This window comes from Homo sapiens, chromosome 4 (assembly GCF_000001405.40).
Source record: "Homo sapiens chromosome 4, GRCh38.p14 Primary Assembly".
NCBI classification, from domain to species: Eukaryota; Metazoa; Chordata; class Mammalia; order Primates; family Hominidae; genus Homo; species Homo sapiens.
The window spans coordinates 181,140,308-181,160,234 of record NC_000004.12 but is presented as its reverse complement, the minus strand read 5'-3'; the positions used below and the strand labels follow the sequence as shown (position 1 = coordinate 181,160,234).

Sequence of the window (19,927 nt, the reverse complement as noted above, 5' to 3'; positions counted from 1 at the left end):
TAAGCAAGTTCTTGGTATGAGAATAGTAAATTTAAATAGCACAATATGGATAGGCTAGATAAAAGGGAGAACGTTGCTGCAGGCCATCTTAATTCATTTTTCCTTTGAATTAAATCCTTGAGTCAGAAAGCAGAAGATGGAATGGTTGGGAAATTCTCAGTTATAATGTCAACGAGTTAAAAGGCTCACATATAGAATTCCCACCTGAAACTGTAGAAATCTTTATCAATGCTACCCCAAACTGGTTACTAGGACTCTGATTAAAGTCATTTAATTTGCTGAGGTGGTGTTTGATAAAATCTAGGGGTTTCTGATGGCTAGCATCTATTATATTTTGAATATAACTACTCTTCCAGTGACCTTAATCAGCCCTGTCCAGTTGAATTGTCAGAAGCTGTTTATATTAGTTTTCTGGATCTACTGTAGTGTCTGACATTGGTGCTGGACACATGAGTAGGGGCATAATACTTACATAGTATTAACCCATGCCATGGCAAGGTAAATAGCCACTCCAGGGTTCTTGGTAATTTTTAATTACCTGGTAGATGATTGCTATAATTACTTAAGACACAACAAAATGAGAAGATGAGAAAACTTAGTGTGAATTATAAGAGATCTTATAAATCTCAAGTGGAAAAATGAAGTATATTGGTAGAATCTAGAAGACAGCCCAAGGAGAATGTGAAAGAAAATAAAATTTGGGCATAACAGACAAAGGAACTCATGGAAATAACACGTAATAATGTCATGAAGAATGAACCAGAGCCGATGAGCAGTCAGGCAGAGCTGTATTCCATTTAAAACATCACCACCAACAACACAATCTCAATGCAGCTATATTTTCAAGACATAAGGGATGTAAAGCCAGGACTATTAGTGTGCATCAGAAGGAAAACATACAGAACACTCTATTTATAATTCCAGGGGTTGGCAAGGTATTTAATGAAGCACCGAGAGTTCTCAGTAGCCACCACCTCCCACGCCGTCCTCCTGTCTGCGGGCTTGCATCTAGCCACCAGTGCTGAAATAGTGCCTGTCCCATAGAACCATCACCCCTCAGAACTGAGCCTGGATGTCAGCCGTGGCCATGATGGCTCCGTCTCATTCTGTCACAGATCGTCTTTATAAGCCAGACATTTCAGTGCTATAAACTGATGAGGTAAGTAGTGATTAAGGCTAAGTGGATCTCGTTAATTCAGCAACACTTTAAAATAATTGAACATGAATAAAATGGCAAATTATAATCAAAGTCCTTTGGGAATACATTTGAAAGCCACATAATGCAACAGGAGTTCATCATGACTAATACTATTATAATTAATATTAAATGATAAAATAATGACTGGCTTTTATTCTTAGCTCAAATTGTCATGCTAGCAAAGGGATGCTTTGGCTTTCACATTGGAGTGAAGGGTGGGGACAAAGGCGACAGAGAACGAAAGCAGTCATTTTGTATTGCAATTTTTAAAGCTCGGCGTTTTTCCTTTTGAATTGCTTTGTTGGCTGATTCGGTATTTGGACTAGGAAATTTTCCATCATGCTATGATGTTCAAAAAGAACAGAGATGAGGGTAATAGTGTCCTGAAGTGAATTCTGAGGTTTTAAAGCCCAAATGTACAGGAGGCAATAACATGTTTGCTTTAAGAGCTTTTGAGATGTAAGCAGTGACCTTTGTGTTTCCAATAATGTCTGATAATTGAATGTAGACAGTGCGTATTGGAAAATAAGGTACTTGTAAGGCAAGGATCATATTCAGCTAGCCCTTATAATTGAGGGGCACAGTTTATCTGAGATTGTGAGCCCTGCCTCAAAGAACCTCAATAATCATAAGCAGTGGGGGATTGCCACTTTCTATAGCGAGGGCAGCGCAATTCTTGCCGCAGGTCACTCGGAACAGAAATAAAGAAACAAACTGCAGCAGAAGGCGTTTCGCATGATATTGCCCCTGGGAAAATGGGTGGCAACACCAAATTCCTGAAGATGGAGTGAACATCTGTGATGGTGTTTTTAGTGTGCTTTTGAAACTGATTATAATCTAAGAATTAGGTGGTAGAAAAGAGAAGCAGAGCAGCACAGAAGAAACAGATACATTTTATAAAAAATTTAGAAATCACATGCAAAAGTAAAGCCTCCAAGAAATAGATGACTTGGAAGTGAAGAGCCTGTGCAGCTTTTCAAAGGGACGGGATGCTTTTTGGCTGTATAATACTGAAGATGGCTTAAGTTCTTCAAAGTAGGAACTGACAGTCCACAATGATTTGTTTGTTTAATGACTATGATTTACCACTTCTCTGAGAGTTGTTTGTTACCGTGACACATTTAGGTCAAGAGAAATGAGCCCTCAGTTCAAATACAGGTCTCTGTCCTTTAGTGAACCGCAGAAATGGAGCCTACCCCTTCAGCAATTTTAAACCTCAAGGTATTAATAGTAGTTTCAGCCATGTGTCTCATATTCCATCCACATCCTTTTTGCTGAATGTACTTTATACACTGTCTTTACTATGGTGTGTCGAATGGTTCAGCTTTCACTTAAATGGAATGGCTGTAGTTACATGTGGGTTCGCTTTAAAGCAACTGAAAAAAAGAACTACAATCTCTGTTTTCCAATTTCAAAAAATAATCAACAGAAACACACCATCTGCAACTCCCATTTACCTGGCTTCTGAAAAATAAAAATTTCCTACAGATAAAGAATGAAATGTTGTGGTAGATTTTACAAGTCTAAATTCTTCTTTGTAACTAGACTGGGTGAGATGCTTAGATGCTTTACACATGACAATTTAAACTTTAGCTTATTCCTTCCTTCCTTCCTTTTTTTTTTTTTGAAAGAGTCTCACTGTATCACCCAGGCTGGAGTGCAGTGGCGGGATCTCGGCTCATTGCAATCTCCGCCTCCCGGGTTCAAGGGATTCTCATGTCTCAGCCTTCTGCGTAGCTGGGACTATAGGCACATGCCCCCAGGCCCAGCTAATTTTTGTATTTTTAGTAGAGACAGGGTTTCGCCATGTTGGCCAGGCTGATCTCGAACTCCTGACCTCAGGTGGTCCACCCGCCTCGGCCTCCCATAGTGTTGGGATTTCAGGTGTGAATCACTGTGCCCAGTAAATATCTTCTTGAGTGCTCTCTTCAGCCCTGGAGGTAATCGTTATGACCACAGATCATTTCTCCAGATTCTTTTGATTGTCTAAAATCTAATGTCTTTACTAACTTTTTATGGGATCTTTGACCTCCTCCACAGTGTCCTCAATTAATTGGACCATAGTTTTGGGTTGTTAGCTTGACACCGTAAGGGGTTGTGCTTTTAAGAAACACAATGTCGGCCGGGCGCAGTGGCTCACGCCTGTAATCCCAACACTTTGGGAGGCCGAGGCGGGCAGATTATGAGGTCAGGAGATCGAGACCATCCTGGCTAACATGGTGAAACCCCATCTCTACTAAAAATACAAAAAATTAGCCGGGCGTAGTGGCGGGCGCCTGTAGTCCCAGCCACTCGGGAGGCTGAGGCAGGAGAATGGCGTGAACCCAGGAGGCGGAGCTTGCAGTGAGCCGAGATCGCGCCACTGCACTCCAGCCTGGGCGACAGAGCCAGACTCCGTCTCAAAAAAAAAAAAAAAAAAAAAACCGCAATGTTATGTTCCATTTCGGTACAGTTAGAAATTCATATTCAGCCTTAGTAAAACATCTGAAACATCAAGTGTCTTTTTTGTTTTTGCCTGATAAAACACTGTGCACAGAATGGCTAGTTAAGTATAATGATGAACTTTCTATGGTCATAAAGAGTGCAACCTTTCATGAGAACTCATTTAAAATAAACTAAAATGCCACACACACTTGGCATGGAATATCATATTTTTATATTAAATTTCAAAGACATAATGAAAAAGAAAACCACCATCTCCAGTATGTTAAAACCTTTCAACGTATTGGAAAATATTACTGAGCATGGGTTTATATTTCTTAAATAATTTTACTAATCACTAAATTAAAATCTCCATATGTGGTAATATAAAAATGAATAAATCTTGCTCAAATAATATATTAAAATGTTTAGAGGAGAAAGGTATTGTGTCATTTTAAGAAAACTCAGAATAGTTTTTATTTTAGTAATTACCTACAAATGAATAATTACATTCAATATGGTCTGTAAAAACCCAAAACTCTCAACTATGATGAGAGTTGATGAAACAACTCTCTCATCATGATGAGAGAGATGAAAACAGACCTCCAGGTCTGGACAAAAGGTGTAAGCATTGGGGTCCAAAACACAGAAAATGTGGAACTTAGTGTAAATTGAGTGTTCTTTTAGAATGCTTAGATGCCTAATTATAAAACTAAGTTCTTTCTATGTAGTGCAGTCATGCCAAAATAATCTCTTCTATGCAATATTCTTTATACTACAAGTTATCTCCTTCTTTCTATCTCTTAGCAGGTATAGGAATAATCAAAAACCGTCTTCCTCCCTTTTTCCTCCCTCCCTGTCTCCATCTTTCCTCAGACACCCACAGAATTTAACAGAAATCGAAGGTGTGGAAAGGATCTCAGACAAGCGAATCCATCACTGTTACTGTACAGATAAGAAATGGAGGCCAAATAGGATTAGCAACTTGCTCAGGACTCCACAGGTAATAAGACTCAGAATCCAAATATGTATCTTCTGCTTGCTGGTGCATTGTTCTTTCTTTTATACCACACCATCTGATAGCCTCGTGTTCTCAAGGGCTTTCTAGTGTTTATTACTACAAGAAACAGGCCGGACCCCACTGTGTGGCATTAGAGCCCCACGGATTTTCCTCGGAGGGCCCTTTGTCTTTTGTGCTTCACAACTGAACTCCCCACTGCAAGACTTGGCGGAGGTGGAGGGAACCTGTCACAGGAGGGTGTCTGTGGCAAGGCTGGTAACCAGATTTTGATTTCAATTATCCATTTAATCATTATTTCAATAAATATTTATTGAGCACCTATTGTTTACCAGACACTGTTCTAAATATCAGGCATATAGCAATGGACAAGAACACTGTATTCATGGATTCCACATTTTCACAGGGAGAGACAGACAGACAGCTAATAGATAGATAGATAGATAGATAGATAGATAGACAGACAGATCATACATACATACATACATAGAGATATGTGAGAGATGGATGATTTATAGATAATAGGTATATAAGTAGAAAATAATGAAAGAGAAATAAGAGAGAGATAGATGATAGATAATAGATAAGCAGATGAAAAAGATGAGAGGGATAGATGATAGATAGATAAGAGACAGAGATAGATGATAGAGAGAGATTAAAAATGTCAAATGGTGGTAACTTGACAACTCTGTGGAGAAAAATAAACCAGGCAGGGAGTTAGGGAGCTTAAGGAGTGGGGTTGCTTTTTTTTATGGGTGCTCAGAATAGGCTTCAGTGGTAGGGACTCTCCAAGAAGATGACTGAGGAAAGAGTAAGAGAGTCACGCAACGCATGGGCTTCCGGGGAGATATGCAAACCACAGCACCTACATTTTACAGGGATCACTCTGGCTTTGGTGAAATAGACTGTAGAAATGCAAACAAAGAAGCAAAAAGTCTAATTGAAATGTTATTGCAATTCAGGCAAAAGTTGATGGTAGCTTGGGCCAGAGAGGTCGTGATGGCAATGTTTAGCAGTGGTAGGGTGTTAGATCCATTTTGAAGGGAGGGCCAACAGAACTGGCTGGTGACAAGGATTTGGGATGTGACTGAGAACAACTAAAGAGATACCCACTGGCATCTTCCAATTGGATATGTCAGGTAGGCCATTGGATACAGGAATCTGGAGTTCAGGGAAGAGTTTCAGACTACAGCTGTAACGTTGGGACTCATCAACTTCAAATGTAATTTAGCCATGAAACTGGATACTCTCACCTGGAAAGTCATGCAATACAGAGAAGGAATCCATGGATTGAGCTCTGGGACAATCTACAGTGTAGACATCAGGGAGATGAGGAAGAAACAGCGTAGCAGACTGGGAAGAAGAGGCTATGAGGTAGGAGGAGGAAAATCATGAATGAGTGGCGCTCAAAATACCAAGTGCAGAAAATATCAAGAGAAGGAGAAATTGACCACCTGTGTCGAATGTTGCTCATAAAGAGTAAGATGAGAACTGTGGGTTGCACAATCCATTTTGCAAAGAAATGGGTATTAGAGACTTGGCCTAGGAGGGCCTGGGGAGTGGTGGGGTCAAAACCTAATGTTTCCCTTGTTCTATAGAAAAAGGAAGCATAGGAGTTGGAGACAGATATGGGATAAATGTCTTCTGATACTACTAGCCATCCTACTAGGATAGGCTAAGGAAGGCTTCTTAGAGGAGATGAGACGAAACTGGTCCTAAACTTTGAACAGAACTTTGACAGGTAGATTTCCTGGAAGGAGCAGTGTTTCTGTTAAATTGAATTTTTTGAGAAAAAAAGTTACTGGTGGAAAGGTCAAGATATGCTAGCATGAAGAACAGCACCTAGAGCAATGGTGTTAGATGACAAAAGGAGAGGTGTCCTTGGAGGAGTGGAAACCCTGGGTGAGAGAAGAGGCCACACTATGGAGTCTAGGTGTTTTTCCTGCATGTGGAGGTATGGCACGGACAGTTTAGAACAGGATAGTGAAACCATCTGATCTCAGGAAGGTATCTCTAGTTCCAGTTTATTGGCTGGAGTTTCAGAAGAGAAGATGAGTGCAGCGAAGCCAGCTGAGTTGCTGTCATAACACCTCAGGGGAGAGATGAAGAAAGGAGGCACTAAAGCCTTAGCAGTTGAAATAAATCATAAAAAGCAAAGATTGAACAAAGTATTTTGGAGGTTTGATAGGATTTATTAACTTCTTGGATATACAGTAGGAAATGGGAAGGCATTTGCAACTAAAGGTGAGTGGAGTTTTGGTGATGTCATTAACTGATGCAGCAAAGAGGGCCCAATCAACAATGAATTTGGGGTGAGAACACTGTAGCCCGGCCCGTGCTGCTAAGGAGGTTTGTGCCATTTATTCATTCTCTCTTCTCTCTGACAGTCGCTCTTGACTTCAGTTTAATCACACACACAAAAATGAAGAATTAGAATCTGAGACCCATTTAGCTGCAGTAATCTATGATTTCAGCTCTAACAACAAAATTTTAGTCTTAGCCTACCAAGTTTGAAGTGTCATTAATAAATGGTATATAAACACCATCGAATATTGCATAGCCATGAAAAAGAAGGAAATCATGTCCTTTGCAGCAACATGGATACAGCTGGAAACCATTAGCCTGAACAAACTAATGCAGGAACAGAAAACCAAACAGCACAGGTTCTCACTTACAAGTGGGAGCTAAGCACTGGGTACTCCTACACACAAAAATGGGAACAATAGATCCTGGGGACTGCTTGAGAGGGGAGGAAGGAGAGGGTTGGAAGGCTACCCATTGGGCACTATGCTCACTACCTTAGTGACGAGGTCATTTTGTACACCAAGCCTCAGCGGCATGCAATGCGCCCATGTGATATGGTTTGTCTTTGTCTCCATCCAAATCTCATCTGAAATTGTAATCCTCAAGTGCCAAGGGTGGAACCTGGTGGGAGGTGATTGGATCATAGTGGCAGTTTCCCCCATGCTGTTCTCATGATAGTGAGTTCTCATGAGATGTGATGGTTTCACAAGGGGATCTTCCCCTTTCATGCTCTCCCTCTCTCCTGCAACCTTGTGAAGAAGGTGCTTGCTCCTTCTTCACCTTCCACGTGATTGTAAATTTCCTGAGGCTTCTTCCCCAGCCATGCAAAACTGTGAGTCAAACCTCTTTCCTTTATAAATTACCCAGTCTCAGGTAGTTCTTTACAGCAACGTGAGAACAGACTAATACACCATGTAACAAACCTGCATGTGTATCCATTGAACTTAAATAAAAGTAGAAAAAAAATTAAAAAATAAAGTTTTTCTCTCTTTGCACTTAAAAAAAAAAAAAGAAATCAGTATATGCAAATATTCAAAGGACTTATAGAAAAGGGCCTAAGGAGAAACGTCTAAAGGTGGCCAAATCTTAAAGATTTGAGGATCAAGTAGCTGGAGTATAGAAGGATCTAATTTAGGTCCCGGCTGTAGAGGAGAAGCCTGCCACAGTGTCAGCTTTCCGGAGCTGGAAAGGGGTTTATCCCTGGCAACTAGAAACAGCCTGAGCCTCCAGCGGCACTGGGCCACGCTTCCCTTCCAAGGTTCGCAGTCCCTGCCAGTGTACACAGAGTTGCATGGCTTTACCTTGAGAAGCAGAGCCTTAGTTCCTTTAAGTATGCTGCTATGAAAGCCTAAGCCCATACATATTTTGAGAGAGAATTAGGCCGAAGTGCTTAAAAAGGAAGCTTTCTCATCAGATTTGCAGATCCAGTGGTCTCCTGTCTTACTCATTTTTCAATCTGTTTGAATCCATGCCAGATCTTTCTGCTAACTCTAGCAGGGGACATACCCTTGGGGACATGATGCCTGGAACATAGTAGGTGACCAACAAATATTTGTAGTCTCCTGGTCAGATTGCTCAGAGGAGAAGAATACTGAGATTAGAGAAACTTGCTACTTGATCACCTCCTTTTTGCAGGAGGCTGGAAATAAACAAATAAAAAAGGCAACTAGATAGAGGCAAGTCCGTACTTCTACATGTAATGCTTTCTAGAATACATACATGAAAGACAAACAATAGATCAACAGATTCACAGACTAGAAAGGGAGTTCTTTTTCAGTAAAGTTAACCACACTCACACGCACACACACAGGTACATGCACACGATTTACTTCTCAATTCGATCTCTCCTTTAAATCTAATTCCAATATTGAAACACACACACACACACACACACACACACAGAGGCACACACACACACGTAGATTTATTTCCCAATCTAATCTCGCCTTTAAATCTAATTCCAATATTGAAACACACACACACACTACACACACACATTTATTTCCTAATTTGATCTCACTTTTAGATCTAATTCCAATATTGATCTAGTATCTTGTATATTCTCTCCAATGTAGTTTTTCCCAACCTGTAATTCACATTGAGCCCTCATTAGTCCAATGAGAGGCTGACTCAGAGTTTCCTGCTAGAAACACACCTAAACATTTCTGTTGATTGTGTTGTGCTTATAAAAACAGACATTCCTATTGCTAGTCTCTACTCTTTCATATTTCAGCTTTCCACTCCTACTTCTTATATAAGGACAAAAATCTAACTCAATCTTCAAGTAATTTTACAAACAGGAACTGCTGTATAGCTAAGTATGGGTGTGTTGATGAAACGGAACTAGTGTCTGGCAAGAGCAAGCAAGTGATATTTTGAATGATTGTTAATCATTTCAGGAACCGAATCCCAAATATGCACAAGAAATGCAGCTTAGAGGGGTAAGGTCTAATGGGCAAAAGTGCTTGAGAGGTAAAGTGTGAAAGTTTGGGCTGTCTTGTCAAATATGTGTGGCCTTTATAAATCTTATTGTTGAGCAGTTATAAGATTGGAGCAGGTTACTAACATTTGTTGCACACTTAACTGTGCAGCAAGCATTGTACATATTGACTATACGTGTGTGTGTATATATATGGGATATCATTTATTCTTTTCACTGATCTTATGTTGATGTATTATGATTTTCATTTTTCAAATGAGAAAACTGAGGTTCAAAGACATTAGTAACTTGCTCGAGGGCACAGAATCAACCCATGTAAATGTAGGGGTCCAGTCCTCGTTCAGGGGCACTGGCCACTGCAGGGCATTCTGGGTGATCTATAGCATCACCTGAAAGCAATGCAAGCTTGCTCCAGGAGTTCTGGTCTTCAGGCACTTTGATCCTTGGGATCATGTCACGCTACAGTGATTTCCTGGCAGGGAAGAACAATTAGGTTCCTGTGAAATATCCTGGCATCTGTCCATCCTCCATGAATGCAGCCTGACATAACCCCCCCACAGTCGTCACAGAAGACACACTGGGTTTAAGGCTAATATGTTCTTTTAATAGTTAATTCTGGAAGCCTACCAAGAGCTGCCATCATTTGAATTTGGCATGATTTCATTGATGCTTGTTGCTCATAATTTCATTATTCTCCAGATGTTAATGTATTTTTGTGTGCAGCTAATTTTTCTTTTGCCAATTATCTCTGTCAGAATTGTAAGGCAATTATCTTTCTGGTTATTTATTTGCATGTATATTTTACTAAAAGGTAAGCTCCACGAGGGTAGGGAATGTGTTTTTGTTCAGTGATTACAACTTCATAGCCCCAAAACAGTGCCTGAGGTGGCTGTGTGCCCAATAAATACTTGTCATTTGAATAAATAAGCGAAAAATGTACCCTTAATTTTCCTGTTTTATGGAGGCTATGAAACCAGAATGCTTAAAAAGATTATGAATGGGCTGGGTGTGGCAGCTAATGCCTGTAATCCCAGCAATTTGGGAGGCCAAGGCAGGTGGATCGCTTGAGCTCAGGAGTTCAAGACCAGCCTGGGCAACGAGGTGAAACCCCATCTCTACAAAAAAGTACAAAAATTAGCCGGGCATGGTGGCGGGCACCTGTAGTCCCAGCTACTTGGGAGGCTGAGGTGAGAAGATCCCCTGACCCCAGGAGGCGGAGGCTGCAGTCAGCTGAGATCACACCACTGCACTACAGCCTAGGTGACAGAGAAAGATCCTGTCTTTAAAAAAAAAAAAAAAAAAAAATATATATATATATATATATATATATATGATTAGATGGTTAAAAAAAAAAAGTCAGTGTTCATGCTTCTACCTGTAGATCATCAAGTGCAAATTTTGAATCCAGAGGGATTTAATCCTTGGGTTGTACTTCTCCGCTCTTTCAGGACCATCATGTGTGATCAACTCGAAGAAAGCGAATCACTTAGTTTTTCATTTTAGCAACAATACTAGTACAAAATGACTTATGCTAACATTCTTCCTATATATATTTCAATTAAAAATAGTACGCTGAATAATCCACTTTTTATTATCTACATCACCTCTCCAGTCTGTATGCTTCATTAACTGACAATTTGTTATCTCTGTTTTTAATCACTCTGTAAGAGATGGAATTAATTTTTCCTATGTCTTCTTTCATTTTCTCGGCTAAACACATCCACTTTTAATGATTTCAAAATATGGTCCCTGTTAGTCATTTTTCTGCCTTAAAAGCTGGAATCTTAGGTGGACATTTTGGAGGCCTAGGAGGCATTTTTGTTCTTCTTGTTCAAGCTTTAAACTGTCCTTTTCTTTTCCATATGAGCGACTGTAACCCACATGATATTGGGCATAAAGTGTTTAAGAAGTATTGTCCAGAACTACTCCTGCCTGGGGGACAGTAAATGATATTATACGAAGTGTCATGGTACTGTGCAAATAGGGAATTCATTTTCAATTCAAACTGCAAGCAGGAAGACACTCTTCCCTGCCAAAGGGGGTTTCAAACCCCTCATTAATAGAGTCCACAGCAGACTCGGCCAGCAGGAGAAGAAAAGGCAGCCACCAGCGTGGAGGATGCCGTGCCCAGGCCTGACACCCAGATTAGAGCACTGGACCACAGCACACAGCAGCTGCTGATAAGGTTAACAAGCAAATCTTTAGCGTTCGCAGCCTCTCCTCTAAATAAACCCATATGCAGAGATTTCAGTGTCCTGAATCAAGAAGTGGTCAGTTCAGTGCAGATCTCAGATTGAAACAAGGCTCCAGAGAAGTTCTCCAGTGAATGCTTCCTAAGGAGGGAGGGGGGCTGATAACATAACCCTGGGATGTCCTTTTACTTCTGTGGGTATGGATTCCTCGGATAAATGCTATGGACTCACTTATTATTAACAACAACAACAAAACAAAAACAAAAACAAGAAAAACTTTATTTGGGGAATAAAGTTTATGAGTTAAAAAATCTCTGTAAGCATTCTGTACAAATTCCTAGATGGCATAGTAGTCCTACTTCATTTATTATATCAAGTTTATTTTTCCCAGAATCTTCAAAACTACATGGGCGGAAGTTTTTCTGAGTATCCTCTTCCAGATCAGTACATTCCAAGCTTTAATGTGCCCCCGAATCACCTGGGGGCATTGTGAAAATACGGCTTCTGATTCAGAGGATCTGGGTGGGTCTTAGATTCTGAATTTTTAACCCGCTCCTAGGCGACGCAGAATCTTCTAGTCCATGGACCAACGTTGAGTCGCAAGGCTTTAGGTTACAAAATCTCGTACACAACTACAAAAAGTAGTGATGCTGATCATAACTTCACAGAAACCCTTACTATACCCGGGAACCACTCCTCCCAAGTCAGGTAAGGGCACTCAACATTAGTTGGCATTTTTTTGTGGGGGGTGAGGAGAGCGGGAATTCCCTCTCCCATACTCTGAGGCTAACTAGTAAGGTAATAACACCTTCACAGGGTTTTTGTTCAGACTGACTGGCTGTGTGTTTTTGCCCTTTTAAAATAAATGTTGATATCTTTGGTCTGGAGGAAACAAAGGAAGTCACGTGACTTGGAATTCCTGGTGGTGTCTTGAAGATGGCTGTTCTGTTTCTCAAGCGAGGAGGAGGAGAATAACATATGGATATATTGCGGGCCGCCCGTGCCATCTTCTGAATTGCCAGACCACGTTGTAAGGTGCAGCAGATGGCCGGAGCAGCGGGACGTGCCAAATGCTGCACTCCAGAGCCCTTCCGCAAGGTGCTTGCTCTGGGAGCAGTAGCAGAGCTCAAGAATATGCTTACGGCCCTTCACAAAGACAAATTATCTGGTAGCTCTTCAGATGGTGCTAGCAAAATCATCTCATTGGGTGGATGATTTACCTCCGCTATGCACTGGCAATTCAACACTGTATTAGGAAAGGGAAAAAATAACTTATTAAAGGTTTTCAAAATATAAACTTTTCTTTCGCAGAACTTGGGCAAAAAGTGCTGATCTCTGATGAGTTCATTCCTTGCAACAACAGAGGAAATGAGCTCAATTTCCTGTCGTGGATGAAGCCCTCACCTCCTCTCCTGCCTCCTCTCCCTCTGACGTCCTCTAGGCCCTTCTGCTTTGGACAGCATGGTAGTGCCCTTCCATCTTGACCTGCCTTTCTGGCCACCATGTTTTTCCTCTGAGGTTTTGTGCCTTCCCACAATGCTCTGCCCTACCTGGTTGTTTAAATTTGACTCATTCTTGAAGACACACTCATATTCTAGCTCCGCCTAATGGTCTTTCCAACCTAAAGTAATACTGCCTTCCTCCACACTTGTCAGATCCCATCATTTGACAGGCAAGAGTGTCTCTTTGTGACAGTTCTTAATTTTATTGTCCTTCTGTAACTTCTCAAATGGATATGAGTTCTCTCTTCATTTAGCTGATAAGCTTCTTTAAAGCGACAAATATTCTTAGAATTTTCAAAAGCATGGCAGTCGATAAATACCTTCTTACTTAGGTTTTGAAGTGAAACACAAGGCAGGTATAGACCGTGGCCTTCCTCTCAAGGCCCAGGGCCCCTGAGCCCTGTGTTCAGAACTTCAGTGCTCATGAACACAACACCAAAGACAGGAGCAGGGATGCCAAGACTGAGGCCCCATTTCTCTTTCCTCCCAGCAATGGGTTGAGGACAACCCTTTCTCCTTCTATAGTAGCTGTCCTGCCGGTTTGCTTCTTGGGCTCCATGGATTGGAGTAGGTGGAGTGGGGGTAGCCATGCTTATGCCTGAGGGTAGCTGATGCTGTTATTTCCCGTGTCTTATTCTCCCATCATTACTCAGGAGACTTCTTATCCTAGGAACTCCAGGACCTGAGTCTGGATTTGTGTAGCACACACTGGATTCAAAAATATATTGTTAGTTGTCATAATAATGTTACAGAAAGCCATTATTTTGTTTTGAATCAAATTTGAAATCCTTCCTTGGAAGGAGCCCCCACTCAGTTCAAGCCAATTGGCTTAATATCTCCATCACCTAGTCATTCCACACAAGCCTTTTCCAAACTGTGCCATATTCTTGGAATGCTCTCTCTTTCTGTCTGCCAAGCTATCTCTCTTCTAGCATCCAAATAGCTCATGAAATCCCAGCTCCTGTACACAGTCTTCCAGAACTATTTGGAAAAGGTCTAATAGCTTCCCTCTGCACCATCGGGTGTGAGCATTAGCCACTTAAGGCTCTCTCACTCCTCACTGCTCTGCTAATGCACTTGTTCTTGAAATGGACAGCAAGTTACATTAACCAATGTTTTGCATTGCTCAATTGTCTGCATTTTTTGCCCTTATATAGATTGTCTTTATATTCAGATTTGTTTAGGCTCATGGTCTACTTTTGACAGATTCTACGGAAATAAGACTATAACTAAATCTCTTCTTACAGTGCTGAGTGCTGAGTGTAATATCATGTAGACACAGATACTTAATGCATAAGGAGATTTCTCAGATTTGACTTTTTAATGTACAAAGAATATGGAACATATTTAATATTTCACAAGTCCACCAGGACCTGCCAGAGACCTCTGTTAGCCTTGGGCAAGGATGGCAATTTCCATGGGGGTTCATTTCTCAGTTGGCTGCGCAGTAGCTGCCATTGGTAGTAATTGTAGGCAGTGCAAAGGGGAATTAATAGGATGTCTTCAGCGCTGAGGGACAAGATCAGGAAAGGTCATTCTCTGAGAGGGAAATCTAGTAGGAGCATAGCATGGCTTAGAGTAGTAAGCTACGAGAGCTTCCCTTCCGTTAGAGAAGGCTGAAGAAAGCAGTGCTAGGAACAACTGGGAAACCACCTTCGACTTGGCAAGTGCCTGGCACAGAGTGGGTGCTCACCGTGGATTTGTCAAATGCAAAAAGGAAGCAGCTATTTCAAGAACAGCAATGTAAGCTACAACCTAATTGTTGCATTCCAGCCTATCTGTCTGAGGAAATAACTTGCTAACGGAATTTTCTGGGGGCTGTCTGAAAGGTTCCAGAGGGAGCCAAGGAGGAAGAGAAAGTATTTATGTTTATCCAGCAATGGTCAAAAGAGAAAAATACCATCGGCAGAACCAGCTACATAATTTGCAGCACCCAGTACAATAAGAAAATGTAGGGTCTCTTGTTCAAAAATTATTATGTTCTCACTCATAGGTGGGGATTGAACAATGAGAACACATGGACACAGGAAGGGGGACATCACACATCGGGGCCTGTTGTGGGGTGGCGGGGGGAGGGCTAGCATTAGGAGATATACCTAATGCTAAATGATGAGTTAATGGGTGCAGCACACCAACATGGCACATGTATACATATGTAACCTGCACATTGTGTACATGTACCCTAAAACTTGAAGTATAATAAAAAAATTATTAAGAATTTCAAGACAGTGACAGCACAGCATTAAGCCAAGCACAGGGCCCCAGTAAGCGCAGCAACTGCCCAGGTTTCATGCCCTTACAGATGCTCTGTCCAGTAGATGTGATTATTGTCACTACTTCTCGTCAGCCCATTTAGATCACTGGCCTAATCCAAAAGCTGGACAAAAATATCCTCCTTCCCAATAAATCTTTTCTGAAATAAGATACATATGGGTCACAAACTCTGGTACCTTTTTACCAGAAGGGTGATTGTTGGAAAAGAAGAGCTCAATTTTATTCAATCCTCTTTCAATTTCCACACTAGTCATTTGAGATTTTAATTCGCATGCACATTTGGCCTCCGTCTCCTTGTAGCTGCACATCTTGTGTAAATCCCTTGAACTCTCTGTCCATTCGTTCTTGTCATCGTAAAATGGGGATGCTAAACCTCATCTCTGGGGTTGATTAGTATTAGGTTGGTGCAAAAGTAATTGGGGTAATATTTACTGACATCCTGAGTGTGAATCTTCTGGTGTAAACAATTCACTTCCTGAGAATTCCCCACACTCACAGTTGTGTGCATAAATCCTTCATCTGATACTGGATAAGTCAGCAGGTCTCCAGGTGTGCAATGGTGAGGACAAGGTCCCTAATATCAATCTATGGAAGAGGCAGCTTGGGCAATTATCTGGCCTCCTCACTCTCCCTGTAACAGAATTTACCCATGAAAGTCTGCAGACCTTGTCGCTGGGGAAGAAGGTGGGAGAAAGAAGAAGAACCCAAGACATTTCTGTTGCATCGCTCATTATCTGCAGTTGGATGCTATCAACTGCAGTCTACTAACAGCCTATTTCATTTCAGGGAGGAGACCTGAATGAAAGCATGGTGGGGATTGGGTGAAGGTAGGAATAAAGAGAGATGGAAAACAGATTCCGCACTTTGACAAGTGGGATGCAAAGATGCTGTAGTCTATTTGATCAAAGTGGGGGAAAAACACTTTTGTCAAACTGTCTGCTTTGTTTACGGGCAGTGCCATTCTCGCACATCATTTGCCTCTTTGCATAAATGCTCTGTCTACATTTTTTATTCACCGTTGGATGATCAGTGCAAGGCATGTTTTTCTCTGCAACAGATTTATTTAAATTTACTGAACTCTTAAGCAGTCAGCTTACAGCAACTACTATAATCTCTTCTTCTTTACTCACAACCAAAGACACATATCACACAAAGAATAATAAAAGTAGGAGGAGGATTAGGAGAATTTTGTGTCACAGTGAACAAAGCTCAGCTAGCATTATGCTTTAAAAATAATGGCTTTTCTGTCTCATAGGCAAGGAGAAATAACTTTTCCACCACATAATAAATTTATTAGCCTTTTTGACCTCATCATTCCTACCTTAACTTAGATACAGCATCAAAGACAAGAACATCTGTTCGACAGTAATATTTCCAATTCAGCGTCTTTAACATTCACTGCTTGCTGCTGCTCCAAAGTTACTGCGTGAGCGCCACCTGGTGGCAGTTTTGTAGGTTGCGCAATGTAATATCACATAAAGGTAAAGTATGGGAGTTGGATTTTTCTTTTCACCACGCAAAGAGCTTACTAGTAGGCAAACGTCTTGAAATAATTGCCATAAGTCTGGAGTCTGTAATACACCTTAAAAACAGTAAATAGTACATTCTTCCCTTTTATTGTTACCTAAACCCAGCCGTTTCCCTTTTTTTTCACACCTTGCTATTTCTGACTGAAATCTCGTTTTTCCTTTGCATCTTATTCCAACGTGTTCTCCCATACACTCCTAACACCTTCAAGATGTAACTCTTTATGTAGTTCCTTCAGAAAGCCTTCCTGGTCCTGTGTGTTTCAAGATTCCAAGAGAAACAGACAGCACATTAAAACTGGATTATTGGAGAAGAGTTAATAATTCTAAAAAGCGCTGACGGAAGTATGGGCAGGATAGAAGGAACCCACAAATGATATTGCAGAATTCCAAGAGTAGTAACCAGTGCCCCTACTACCTAGTTCTAAAGGCGCAAAGGGACAGTGGCTCTGGGGAGCGAGTGGTCTGACAGGCAGGTGACCTCTGTGGAGGGTCCAGGTCTTCCTATCTCCTATGGATGCTCCTCATTGGCCAATCCCAACAGCAAACCTGAGATCAAGGGAAGCCAGTCCCCTTTGCCCCTGGAGGCATGGGCCATGGAGAGAAAGGCATTGATAGGAGGTGTAGGGTGGTTAACAGAAGGCATCCACCACTGTCCCCAGCCTGAATCCCTCCCCCATCATCACGGTCACCCATGGATGATAATGCATTTATAGATAGAAGATCAAAAGATTAAATATAGATACAAACCATTATATTGAAAGACTAAATGATGGAACAAATCACAATTTTCCAAGATTTATAACTTGTCTTTCCTCTCAGACTGCTATCTACCCATTCTTAGCTACCTCTAACTTCCTTCATTCAGTGCTGCTATACCTCAGCATTTGCCTTGTTTAAAGGTGTGCTAGGGTATGTTAATAGCAGCTATGCTTCAGGTTCTGCTAGTAGGGACCTATTGTCATTTATCACTTATCATGGACCAGAAACTTGAGGATTCAATGTAATAAATTAATGTTAATGAATGTCTGCCATGTTCATGTCCCATCTTTCATTTTTTGAAGGGCATCTCAGACTTCACCGAGTACATTCTTTCTCTCCCACTCACTCTCCCTTGCATCTCTCTGTCTCTTTTGAAATTGGGGTATCTTTGAAAGGTGCCCTCGCTGTCTAATTAAGTAGGGGATACATAGCAACAACTTTTAAGTTCAAAACAGCAACGAGCAGCCTGGTCTTTGGGGGAGGTTGCATTTGCAGGTTGGTATATCAGTCCCAAAGTGAAGGGAACTTGCAAAATTAATATGCAGCCTTCATAGATATGCTGACATGAATCTGCAGGAATCTGCTGAAGTAGAAGGAAAGGGCTACTTCAAAGCATTTGAGAAAGTCTGTGTTGACTTTCACATATGTCTTGGAGCAGCTCACGATTTTTGACACACAGTGCAGTAACCTGAACAATGAAATCTTATCCTAATTATGGTCTTTCTTTGAAGAGACCACATATCCTATTCATTACACCTAGATCTTTAAGTTTTCCAAAAGGTCTTATGAAATTCCTTTATTCATTTGTTACTTGTTGATTTGGTTTTGTTAAGAAGAAGTGCTTCATGATTACCATCAAAATAACAAATAATATCGATTATGCCACATTCAAATTTTTGGGTGATAATTAAAAATCTCTAGATATGAAAACAAAACTGAACACAGGAAGTGACTCAGAAATTATTAGGCTACAAGTATTTCATAATTTGAGATTTTTAGGTGGGAAGAAATTTTGTAGAATACACATCATTCTACTTTTATAGAATTAGATCATTCATGCCTTGCATTTTATAAATGAAGAAAATGAGATCAGGAGTTCCCTCACACAGTCAAAGACAGGGGCTAAGTAGTTGCAAATTTAAAACCATAACCTACATAGCATGAGTCCTCACCCAGTGCTGAGAATGTTAAAGTAAAATAGGACTTGATTATGTGCAAGGGTGATTCTACTAATACAAAACATGTGTTGGTGTTCTTTTTCTGAAGTAGAAAAAAATAGGAAGATTGAAATCATCTTCTACCTCCTTCTTCTCAACACATTTAATAACAGTGAGAGGGTAAAAAATAAAGAATGGTTTTGTGGTTCAGAGTCAGAGGAGAATAAACTCATATACTCCAAAAATCACTATCTATCAAAGTATTGCTCGTTCCTTGCAGACTGGAAACTGGGTAAAGAGGAAATTGAGGGGCAGGGAGTGAGAGAGATGTTTTGGATGTGAAAGAAGTGTGCATGGATGTGTGGGTGCATGCTGGTGTTTTGGGATCCTTGAGGGTCAGGGACCTCCAACGCGGTTGGCATCATAAGCATTGTGACCTATGGAGCCTTCTCAAAGAGCCCATTACTGAGCTTGGCATGGATGGCAAAGGTGGCGGTGATATTGCCAATAAAACAAGCTGCCTGGGCAAGGATCAAAGGCAAGCATGCACCTAGCTCTGGGCCCTTTACTCTTTTTCTGGACTGCATAAGCCCTGGCGTGCTACCACAGCCCAAGGGTAGGAGAGGGCACTCCAAATTGACTGTTATTGGACTTCTTGTCAACCTTGATGACAGTGACCTCACGCTGGATTTAATCTGACTTAGAAAAATAAGAAAAAAGGTGACTTTTTATGCACCCTGAGCACCATGGAGCAAGTTGCACCTGTTTAAGTGTAAATTTTCCATTGTTACAATATGAAAGTTATTTCGATGGGTGAGGGGTGATGAAAGCTCAGTACTAAACAGATCGTTTCATTCACCAACTTTTATTTTTAGAAAGTGTCTTTTTTATTTTTTTTAAGAATAGCGTTTCTTACGATACCATTTTTCTGGCCTACTTAAAAAGAGAAAAAATGGATTTTTACGATTGTTTTTGTAGTAACATAAGCTCTTCAGGGCAAAGGGTTTGTGCAGTGAATTGCAGCCCAGCATGAAATGTTACAGCTGAATTATGAACCCCTGCCAATAAAAGTTTACAACAGAACAGCCTGGCTGGTCTAGCTTTAGGAACAGAGGTGGAGGAAATGTACATGA

At 40.9% G+C, this 19,927-nt stretch overlaps 1 long non-coding RNA gene across 1 annotated transcript in view, besides 1 other annotated feature; it reads left to right on the top strand.

Moving 5' to 3' along the window:
* The first annotated feature begins 1,085 nt into the window (after nt 1-1,085).
* Nucleotides 1,086-19,927, top strand: part of LINC00290 (long intergenic non-protein coding RNA 290) — a 95,061-nt gene continuing 76,219 nt past the window's right edge. The window contains exons 1-2 of the long non-coding RNA NR_033918.1: nt 1,086-1,159; nt 4,496-4,622. This is a non-coding gene — a long non-coding RNA (long intergenic non-protein coding RNA 290). The remainder of the gene's footprint in view (nt 1,160-4,495; nt 4,623-19,927) is intronic.
* Nucleotides 12,235-13,434: an enhancer, noted in NCBI's record as "BRD4-independent group 4 enhancer chr4:182067954-182069153 (GRCh37/hg19 assembly coordinates)". NCBI's record gives its function as "activates an origin of replication core promoter dependent on BRD2, P300/CBP, MED14 and CDK7 cofactors, and independent of BRD4, by STARR-seq in HCT116 cells {active_cell/tissue: HCT116}" and the evidence as "EXISTENCE:reporter gene assay evidence [ECO:0000049][PMID:35650434]".